The following is a 10,532-nucleotide window of genomic DNA, read 5'->3' as shown; positions in this document are numbered from 1 at the left end:
GAAATGAAAACTATTGAGGCAGAAGCAGAAAGGACGTACCAGGAGAACTCTGGGCAAAAGTCCCAGCCTCTGAGGTAAGGATGAAAGGGCTTTGTGTTTGTTCCTATCTTCCCGCCAACTCCACACGCGCACACACAACACCTTCAGAACTGGTTTATTAGTAGGATTGGTTACATTCAAAGGCTGTTGCTTGGACTTCTCTAAAGAGATGAAGCCCCCACATACTGAGGAGGCAAGGCAGTCATCAAGGCCCCAAGGTGAGGCAAATCCCTGGAAGGCTTGAACCCTGCAGTTCAGTCTCCCGGGGTAATCACTCCCCAGATAGCAGTGAGAATGGGGCACTGAGGCCCGGGATGTAGGCACTGGACAGCAGCAACCCAGGCATCTGTGCCCCACAAACCAGTTAATGGGCATCGTTAAGCTGCCGTGCAACATCCAGGATGTTTTTGGCTCCTTTGCTCAGCAACAAGTTGGCCAGGCTGATGCCCAAGTTCTGGGCAGCCAACTGGGGCCCTCGTGGAATGTTACGAGCAGTGATGCCTACCAACTGTGGGTCATCCTCAGGGCCATCTTCATGCTGTATGAGGGAAGGAGGTGGGATTTGGTGAGAACAAGAGATTATATGCACTCTTGTTTATTACCCCCTCGCCCTCCAGCTTTGGTACCTGGGCAGGGACATGGATGGTAGCCTGCATGGTCTCTTGTATGCTATCTGAGCCGTCTAGACTCCAGACTCCTCCAGTCAGGTACAGCTGGGGAAGAAAACAGTTGCCTCAGCACAGTCTGAGAGGGGACTACCTAGAAACCTGGGATGCACAGGAAGAAATGCCACAGTCCTCCTTTCCCTGGCTTCCCGCCCATTTCCCCCCACTTACTTGCCCATCCTTCATAGCTGTATGCACGGCTACTGGCACACTGCAGCCTCCTTCCTGTAACAAGAAGTTCTTGTGAGCTGCAAGGGCTCTTAACACCACCCTGTGACCACAGACCTGAGGACATCACTGAAAAGGCAACTGTGGGCCCAGACCTGGTCCTATCCATACACAACATTCAACAAGAATGAGTTAGCACTGTATACAGAGCATTCATGTAAGAAATCTTCCCTGCCACCTTTCCCAGCTCTCCAAGTCCCCAGCCCTCCACAGGTGGAGCACAGGCCCTACCAGGTGCCTCAGGAAGGCCCTTTCAGCGATGCAGCGAAGCAGAGTCTCGGGATCGTGCAGCACACCCACCAGATCCAAGATGTCCTGGTCCTTGGCTCGCACTTCCACGCCCAAGGCCCCCTGATGGAAAAACATCCTAGGACATCAGGCCTGATCTTTCCCCAACCAATGGCGCAAAGCATGGGACCACCTCTATCTACTTGCTCCCCAGCGCCTTTTGGACCGGTAGCATCCCAAGGTCTGCCCCTCCCTGAGAATGCTATTCTGGGGAAGCAGATGCAGAAGGTTGTGAGACAAGCTTCTTGGTTGAGAACAAAGGGAAGGCATATGTCACCATGTGGCTTCCCTGGTCAAGTGTACCTGGCCCACAGCATACATGCATTCCTCAGGGTGCAGGATCTGTGGAGGCGGAACAGGGAGTCAAAAGGGTGGACACGGGGGTGTCTAAAAGCACCTGGCAGTGAGATGGGAGTTCCCTATCATCTAGAAAGCCTGGGTAGGCCTAAGTGTGAGTCTGGCCTCTTTTTTTTTTTTTTTGTAAATTTTCTCCATGAAAGCCTAGAGTCTGGCCTCTGATTCACAATCTTCCCAGCCTACGGTGTTAGAGGTGGGGTGGTCAAGAAGTGAAGACAGATGGTCCTTGACTTACAATAGGGTTACATCCTGATAAACCCATTGTTAAGTTGAAAACAAGCTGAAAATGCATTTAATACACCTAGCCTACCTTACATGTGCTCAGAACACTTAAGATTAGCCTATTATAGTTGGACAAAATCATCTGACACCAAGCCTGTTTTACAATAAAGTGAATATCTCATGTAATGAATACTGTACTGAAAGTAAAAAACAGAATGGCTGTATGGGTACTAAGTACAGTTTCTACTGAACGTATATCGCTTTCACACAATCATAAAGTCTAAAAATCCTAAATTGGGGATGACTGTAAGGCAGAAAGGAGATGCAGATGAGCTGGGGAGAGGATAGGGGCAGGCCCTACCTGCCCCACCCGGTTGTGCCAGCCCATGCGCTGCAGGCCAGCTGTTGCCAGGATGATGGCACTGAACTCCTGCTGCTCGTCCAGCTTCCGAAGCCGGGTGTTGAGGTTTCCCCGCTGTGGAGAGTTGCTAAGGACCACAGTGTCGGGCAATCTGGGGCCTCGTGCGGTTCCCTCTGCCTGAGTCTGTCTTTCCCTCTCTAGCTGGCTGACTTTCAGTCATCTTCCAGCTCTCAGCTTAATGTTAACAGCTAACAGTTACATCATACTTACTACATGCCAGACACTGCTCTAAAAGTACTTTCCATATGTCAGCTCATTTCATCTTCACAACAACCCTGTGAGGAAGGTAGTATTATTATCCCCACTTTACAGATAAGGAAAATGACATAGGGAGGCTAAATAACTTGCCAAGGTTACAAGACCTCTGAGAAACCTTCCCTGACACCCCAGACTTCTGTGTTTAGATGTTCCAACTAGAAGTTTCCAGAAAATTCCCAACTTCACTTATTGGAGCACTTAGCACATACTATTTTTAAATTTAGTTTTATGAAATGTACTACATATTCATTGTAAAAGTCAAGACAATATAGTAGCATATAAAAATGGAAGTACTGACCGGGTGCGGGGCTCAAGCCTGTAATCCCAGCCCTTTGGGAGGCCGAGGCTGGTGGATCACCTGAGGTCAGGAGTTTGAGACCAGCCTGACTAACATGGTGAAACCCAGTCTCTACTAAAAATACAAAAATTAGCCAGGTGTGGTGGCACCTGTAATCCCAACTACTTAGGAGGCTGAGGCAGGAAGATTGCTTGAACTCAGGAGGCAGAAGTTGCAGTGAGCCTAGATTGCGCCACTGCACTCCAACCTGGGCAACAGAGCGAGACTCCGTCTCAGAAAAAAAAAAAAAAAAAAAAGGAAGTACTCCCTATCCCTCCAGAAGTAGTCACTATTCAGTTCAGTATAACTGCATTATCCCTAAGTAAGACGTAAACTCTACATATGCAGGGAAATGTTTATCTTGCTCACCATTATCCCCAATGCCTTGCACTCTGAACACTTGTCTGGGGCTAAGAAAACATTAGACTGTAAATGAGTGGACGGATGAGTGCATGGAAAGACAGACAGGCCACTGACCCCACGGGCTGCTTGCTGGAAGCCCCTTCCACTCTCCGGACTCCCAGAGCCCTCTAGACCTTGTCTTTTTCCTTGGCTGCTGTCTCCGTCACTCTTCCAAAAGGATCCGTCACTCTTCTAAAAGGATACAATACTCCTGAACTCCAGATGCGGGAACTTTCTCTGCAGCTGGGCTGCTCTTCGCAGGGAGCTGGTTCCCACCACACTGCCCAGAGAGAAGTTACAATGAGATTTTAACACTAGGCAGTCACTGTTCCTTTCCTCCTCCTCCCATCCCTGCATCTTCTGGGCACATCCCACCAAGCTGCCTATCCAGGCCCCACTTACCTCTTCTCTGGCAGGGTTTCTAGGGTCTTCCCAACAAATTTTGGGTGAAAGACAACAGCATCATGAGGGTTTTCCCGCCTGGGGGAGGAGGGAAGGGCACAGAATGAGGGAAGAGATTTAAGTTCAGATCACCTCTATTCTCTCTCGATTGCCAACTCACTGGTATTTCTTGAGTTTTCTGCCACCAGTCAACACTCCTCAGGGCAGAGGAGATAACCCTGAAGCAGAGGGTCAGGCCCCAAAGGGAAAGGCAAAGGTTCACATGATGCCTACCCCTGCCCAAGCCCCTTACTTGCAAGACTCTTACTTGCAGATGGCTCCGATGGTGAAGCCAGGAGGAAGCACAGTGGGCAGGTCCTTCAAGGAGTGAACAACCAGGTCCACTCTATAGAGATGGGAGAGGGGGGCAAAGAGAAAGGGTATGAGCAGCCAGCCTTCACCCCTTCTCCACCCACCCCTGCCTCTACTTCAGTGGTGGAGCCTAGGGCAGTTCAGGAAGCACACCTTCTCAAGATCTCAGGAGCATGAAAACTGCTCTCCTCTCACTCTCCCTCCTACTCTCCCTCCTACCCTCCCTCCCCCAGCCATTCTTGCAGTCCAGGCAGCCAGATGGCTCAGAACCAGACACTCTCCTTTTCTGAAGCCTGAAAAAACCCACCTATGAGCTGCCTTCAGCCTCTCTGAGGGTTTAAGCCCAGCAGCCTATCTGACACCCCGGGTCCCAGCAAGAGACCTAGCATACTAGGGTCCCAGCAAGAGACTGGGAGGGCACCACACTCTCCTATCTTTACTTACTCATTCTTCTCCAGGGCATGTTCAAGCTCCTTGGTAAACAGGCTTTTCTCTCCAATCTGCCGGACAGAAAGAGCCTGAGTGAATCCCTTCAGGGAAGGAAAGAAGAGTGGGGACAAGAACTGGGGAGGAAGATGTTGTTACCTTAGAGAGTGCAGTATCAAGAATCTTGTCCCCTGTGGTGGACATAGCAACTGAGGAGAGAGTCAATCAATCAGGTGCTCATTATTGATCAGCATTTACTGAGCCTAGCGCTGTGCTACGATTCATGATGGGGACAGAGGCACATAATCCCTGGTTCCTGCCCTCTGAGTATATACAATCGAGCAGGAAGACCAGAAACACTCATAAAAAGACCCAAAGCTCAAGATGTTAAATGCCAGGCTAATCCAGGTAGTCAGAGCTGGAGGTATTCAGAGGAAAGCACCTTCAGAACTGGGAGCAGCCCAGAAGGAATCTCGGGGCAGCGGGACGGGCTTTAGCTATAGGCAAAGCCAGAAATGTTGTGTTCTCTCCTCTCGGGGTACTGGGCTTCCCATTAGCTTCCACTCCTTTCCAGAAAACTCACTGATTTCAAACTGCAGGCCAGGGTACGAGGCTTTCAATGTTGCCACCACACTGTCCGTCTGTATGCGAGCAAGCTGCGGGTAGAGACTTGGATTAGTCCTGCCCTTCCCAGCCACGGCTCAGACTCTTTAGACTGTCACAGGTTAGGCAGATCCTGAAGGGACTGGAATTTCCATCTGGGCATGAGAAGGGGCTTGGGAGCCCTCTGCACTCCAACAATTTTCCCAGCCTAGGGATGATCTTGCCATAGAATGTAATCTGCCATTTCCCGGGGAACTTAACGCCCAGCCACCCCATCTCCTTCATACTAGGAACTAACCCTCTGAGTCCCCCAATTTGTGATGCTGTGAGCATCATAACTGTTCTGACAAACCTCCTCCACCCCGGCTCCTGCACCCACCTGGCTCTTGCGGGTACCCACGCGAATCACTCTCATCTTTGGGCTGTTTTCTTCCTGCAGAAAAAGTCCCCAGGTCACAGTCCCCTCTGTTTCTAGTGTTCCTCAACACCTTGTCCAAGAACCAGAATCACTGGCTTGGAAGAAAGGAACTTCAGAACCTGGCCTGTGGCCAGCTGAGTCTCAGAGTGGGGAAATACTCCAAGGCTGGTCCCTTTAACCTTCCTCAGTACCTTCTGCCCTCCTCAGGGATCCAGAGAAGCAGAGACTAGAGGGAGGCGATAGTAGGACCTGCTGTTGCTGCCGCTGCAGTAACCAGGACACTGAGCCCTGAAGCCCACCTTGACCAAGGCAGTTGTCAGTGGGAGTGCTGTGCACAGCCAGGTGGGTAAAGAGATAAGGCCCATCAGCCTGGCCACAGGAAGGGTGGGGCCTGCAGCTGGCAGGGGCAGGGCAGCCAGGACCACACTGGGGAACCTGTGCTGAGTCACTGGAGGATAGATTCATTATCTACAACAGACAAGGCACTTGAGAAAATTTCAGTGCCATCCAGATGCCACATGGAGTAGACTAGAGTCTAAGAGCAGCAAGCTGCCACCTTCTCCAGCAAGAGGCCCAGATGTCTGGCTACAAAAGAAGTCAAGAGGATGAAGATCCCACAGTGGGGAAAGCTGACAGTATTAAGGGTCCCTTAATCTGGCTGGACTGCATGCATTAAGGACTGAGGTAAACGGATCTGACGTACAGTCCTGCTCAGCCTCTTGGCTGGGTGACCTTGGGTACACTGTCCCACCAGGATCTGTTTGTTCATCTATAAAATGAAAAGGTTGGACTCAGGTTTCTTCTGCCTCAGATGTTCCATAAGACTAGGAGGCTGCGCTGCCTAAAGTTCGTGCACCTAGAGTGCTGCCTCTGGTTTCACCAACATGGAAATATTAACAGGCCAGAGCCCAAGTCAAGAACTCAAGAGGACACGCCTCTTCCTCCTGCCAGAGTACCTTGGACAAAAGTATTCACTGCTAAGCACGTAGAACTGAATTCTTCAGTCTAAGACGGAGGTCCCATTTCTCTCTTTTTTTTTTTTTTTTTTTAGACAGAGTCTCACTGTTTTGCTCAGGCTGGAGTGCAGTGGCGTGATCTAGGCTCACTACAACCTCCACCCCTGGGTTCAAGCTGGAACTACAGGCATGTTCCACCATGCCCAGCTAATTTTCACATTTTTAGTAGAGACGGGGTTTCACTGTGTTGGCCAGGCTGGTCTCGAACTTGTGATCCTCCTGCCCCAGCCTCCCAAAGTGCTGGGATTACAGGCGTGAGCCACCACGCCTAGCCTGATCCCATTTCTTTCTACATCAGACAGTAGCCACTGTAGATACTGATACTGTCGACAGTCAACATTCCCTGATCTGGGATGTTCATCCTATGTAGTTCCTTTTTTTTTTTTTTTTGAGACAGAGTCTCCCTCTGTTGCCCAGGCTGGAGTGCAGTGGCATGTTCTCAGCTAACTACAACCACTGCCTTCCAGGTTCAAGCGATTCTCCTGACTCAGCCTCCCAAGTAGCTGGGACTACTACAGACGCACACCACCATGCCCAGCTAAAATATGTGTGTGTGTGTATATATATATATATATTTTTTTTTTTTTTCTTTTTTTGAGGGGGAGTCGCGCTCTGTCACCCAGGCTGGAGTGCAATGGCGCGGTCTCGGCTCAGTGCAACCTCCACCTCCCAGGTTCAAGCGATTCTCCTGTCTTAGCCTCCCAAGTAGCTGGGACTACAGGCGCATGCCACCACGTCGGCTAATTTTTTGTATTTTTAGTAGAAACGGGGTTTCACTGTGTTCCCTAGGCTGGTCTCGAACTCCTGAGCTCAGGCAATCCACCTGCCTCGGCCTCCCAAAGTGCTAGGATTACAGGCATGAGCCACTGTGCCCGGCCTAATTTTTATATTTTTAGTAGAGACGGGGTTTCACCATGTTGGTCGGGGTGCTATGGAGTTCTTTTGCACCCAGACATCTGGGGCCTCTATTGCCGAAGCAGGTGACAGCTTTCTGCCCTCAGACTCTGGTCTACTCCATGTGATCACTCCAATAAATTAACCCTGGGAGACCCTTTGCAAATTAGGCTAGGCTTGATATTAAACGTGGCCACCAAAATTCTGGGCCACAGGGAGCCCACAGAAAGGACTCTAAGGTCCCAGAACTACTAGGTTCAAACAATTCCTTAAGTTCATTGAATGTGCACAGCATATCCAAGTCAAACCGTTTCATTAAAAAATAAAACACTGAGCACTTCTATGTTGAAGCTATTGCTTTTGCATATTGTTGTCGTCTCAAAAATCCTATCAGGTGGACAAGACAGGCACCTTTGGGACCATGTTACAGAAGCAACGGGTGGCATCAAGGGATGAGGTGACTTGCCTAGGGTCACAGAGCTAATAACCGAAAGAGAGTTGGGGCCACAATTCAGATCTTCCTACTCCTAGTCCAGGGCTCTGGAATGACTGCAAGAGCAAAGATCCCAGCCCTCACCAACAGGCTGGACAGGGGGAGATTAGCAGCTCCCCATCTCTTTCTTATCTCGGCCTGGCAGTGGCCTCCACCAGCTCTGCAGTTTGTCTGTGCACAAGCCCAGGGCTCGGCAAGCAGGCTCGTAATGGAAAGGCCCACGGCGGCCTCCCACCCACGGTAGTAATTCAGTAGGTGTGTCACAGCTGGGGACTTGGAGCGTTGGCTGTGGCTGGGAGACCACTATAACACAAAAAGAAGGCGCACTTCTAAGACGTTTGTGTGCAGTTCGGAGGCTTGGCTGATACTCTCTCCTATGAATCAAAAGTGGAACGTGTCTTCCCAAAGGGGCCGTATCTGCATCCGCCTCAGCCCAGCCTCGAATGAAAGGACCCCGTCTGTGTAGACGAACGTTCTTGGTCTGGGTCACTAAATCTAGAGCCGTGCATCCCAGGCCTGATGGGAATCCCACCCAGATGCCCGCAGGGACCGGAGTTCCGTTCCAAACAATCCTTCCACTCTTAACCCAGTATCACCGCTCTCTGATTTCCCCATTCCTTCCGGAGGGCAACCGAGCTACTGGCCCTTTAAAAGCTACTCGGACCAAAAAAAAAAAAAAAAAAAAAAAAAAAAAGATAGCCGTTCTGACCAATAGACGACTGAGGATGGCAACCTGGGGCCAATCGCTGCACGGCTCGTCCAGAAGCCCAAAGTGTGCTGGTCACCGGCTCAGCACTCACCGCCGTTGCAGCCGCATTGCCGTTACCAGACATGGCTCCGCTTGGAAAGTAGGCTGTGTGTGGGTGCCGCTAAGGTCCCCCGGCCCCGGGAAGCCGGGGGCTCCGGCCGGCGAGTACCGGGGACACGTGGGACCCGAGGTCGTCCTACAGTCTGACTCCTGGTCTCCGCAGAGCCTCGCGTCACTTCCGGCGCCCTCCCTCGAAGGGGAGGTCCCTCCCTCTGGGCGGGAATTGGAACATTGCGACAGTGGACCTCCCCATTCGACCACCCCATTCCCCAGCTGTGACATGAGCAAGTAGTGCAGCTTCTATGGCGCTTCCTTTGCTCTGTTCAAACTTAGCTTTGCTACAACCTTGAAATAGGCAGCATTTTTCTTTTTGATACGGGGTCTCACTGTGTCCCCAGACTAGAGTGCAGCGGCATGACCACGGGTCACTGCAGCCTTGACCTCCCGGCTTCAGCGATCCCCCCACCTCAGCCTCCCAAGCAGCTGGGACTACAGGCGCACATCACCACGTGGGACTAATTTCTAGATTTTTTTATAGAGACAGCGGGGAGGTGGCCTCACTATGTTGCCCAGGCTAGTCTCGAACTCCTGGACTCAAGCAGTCATCTCGCCTTGGCCTCCCAAAGTGCTGGGATTACAGGCGTGAGCCACTGGCCCAGCCAGCATTTCAATTCTTAAAATGAGGAAACTGGTTCAGAGAGATTAAAGGTCATGCCTAAAGACAAGTAACTGAAGTGGGAGCACAAACGCTACATGTAGTGAGAAAAGGGCTTGTTAGGAAAAGTGCTTTCCCATGAACATAATTTTTTTTTTTTTTTTGAGACGGAGTTTCGCTCTTGTTGCCCAGGCTGGAATGCAATGGCACGATCTCAGCTCACTGCAACCTCCGCCTCCCGGGTTCAAGCAATTCTCCTGCCTCAGCCCCCCGAGTAGCTGGGATTACAGGCACGCACCACCACACCCAGCTAATTTTGTATTTTTGGTAGAGATGAGGTTTCTCCATGTTAGTCAGGCAGGTCTTGAACTCCTGACCTCAGGTGATTCGCCCACCTCGGCCTCCCAAAGTGCTGGGAGTACAGGCGTGAGCCACCGCGCCTGTAATCATGAACATAATTAACAATCATGATTATTAATAATCACCCAGCTAGGTGCAGTGGCTCACACCTATATTCCCAGCACTTTAGGAAGCCAAGGCAGGAGGATTGCTTGAGCCCAGGAGTTTGAGACCACCCTGGGCAACATGGTGAAAACCTCATCTCCACAAAAAATACAAAAATAGCCAGGTGTGGCGGCACACACCTGTAGTCCCAGCTATTCAGGAGGCTGAGGTGTGAGGATCGCTTGAGCCCAGGAGGTCGAGGTAGCTGTGAGCTGTGGTGGTGCCACTGCACTCTAGCCTGGATGACAGAGTGAGACGCCCATTTTTTTTTTTTTTTTTTTTTGAGATGGAGTTTCACTCTTGTTGCCCAGGCTGGAGTGCAATGGTGCAATCTCAGCTCACCGCAACCTCCACCTCCCGGGTTCAAGCAATTCTCCTGCCTCACCCTCCTGAGTAGCTAGGATTACAGGCACCTCCCACCACACCCAGCTGGTTTTTGTATTTTTAGTAGAGACGGAGTTTCACCATGTTGGTCAGGCTGGTCTTGAACTCCTGACCTCAGGTGATCCGCCCACCTCAGCCTCCCAGAGTGCTGGGAATACAAGCATGAGCCACCGCGCCCGGTGAGACCCTGTCTTAAGAAGAAAAAAAAAATCACCCATGTGCTCAGCACTGTACAAAGAACTGAACACCTATTTGATCCTTAGGCTTTCATAATAGCCACACAGCATAGGTGTTATAATCCCTAACGTACAGATGAAGACACAGGTTGAGGGGGAAAGGGTGGGAGCAGGGTGAGGGATAA

At 50.9% G+C, this 10,532-nt stretch overlaps 1 protein-coding gene across 17 annotated transcripts, besides 3 other annotated features; it reads right to left on the bottom strand.

Annotated features, from left to right (window-relative positions):
• Window positions 138–8,806, bottom strand: HMBS (hydroxymethylbilane synthase). Of its 17 annotated transcripts, NM_001425054.1 has the most exons (15): window positions 8,621–8,806; window positions 7,794–7,876; window positions 5,379–5,432; window positions 4,980–5,052; window positions 4,556–4,605; window positions 4,415–4,470; window positions 3,927–4,004; window positions 3,620–3,697; window positions 3,422–3,497; window positions 2,161–2,274; window positions 1,524–1,562; window positions 1,164–1,283; window positions 876–929; window positions 666–752; window positions 139–577 (listed from the first exon to the last, which is right to left on the bottom strand). In NM_001425054.1, exons 3-15 carry the CDS (start codon window positions 5,412–5,414, stop codon window positions 404–406), a joined length of 1,035 nt encoding a protein of 344 aa, NP_001411983.1. In that variant the 5' UTR covers window positions 5,415–5,432; window positions 7,794–7,876; window positions 8,621–8,806; the 3' UTR covers window positions 139–403. The 17 variants fall into 17 exon arrangements, with proteins under 17 accessions (NP_000181.2, XP_016873118.1, NP_001019553.1 ...); NM_000190.4 differs by lacking the exon at window positions 7,794–7,876 and having other exon boundaries at window positions 138–577; XM_017017629.2 differs by lacking the exons at window positions 7,794–7,876; window positions 8,621–8,806 and adding an exon at window positions 5,609–5,700 and having other exon boundaries at window positions 138–577; window positions 5,379–5,512.
• Window positions 427–939: an enhancer, noted in NCBI's record as "H3K4me1 hESC enhancer chr11:118963458-118963970 (GRCh37/hg19 assembly coordinates)". NCBI's record gives its function as "activates a minimal SCP1, AML or CMV promoter by ChIP-STARR-seq in primed H9 embryonic stem cells {active_cell/tissue: H9 hESC(primed)}" and the evidence as "EXISTENCE:reporter gene assay evidence [ECO:0000049][PMID:30033119]".
• Window positions 8,508–9,205: an enhancer, noted in NCBI's record as "H3K27ac hESC enhancer chr11:118955192-118955889 (GRCh37/hg19 assembly coordinates)". NCBI's record gives its function as "activates a minimal SCP1, AML or CMV promoter by ChIP-STARR-seq in primed H9 embryonic stem cells {active_cell/tissue: H9 hESC(primed)}" and the evidence as "EXISTENCE:reporter gene assay evidence [ECO:0000049][PMID:30033119]".
• Window positions 8,529–8,578: an enhancer, noted in NCBI's record as "active region_5621". NCBI's record gives its function as "activates an Ori minimal core promoter by ATAC-STARR-seq in GM12878 lymphoblastoid cells {active_cell/tissue: GM12878}" and the evidence as "EXISTENCE:reporter gene assay evidence [ECO:0000049][PMID:35858748]".

This window comes from Homo sapiens, chromosome 11 (assembly GCF_000001405.40).
Source record: "Homo sapiens chromosome 11, GRCh38.p14 Primary Assembly".
Classification (NCBI taxonomy): Eukaryota; Metazoa; Chordata; class Mammalia; order Primates; family Hominidae; genus Homo; species Homo sapiens.
The sequence above is the reverse complement of the archived record's forward strand: the minus strand, read 5'-3'. Positions and strand labels throughout refer to the sequence as shown.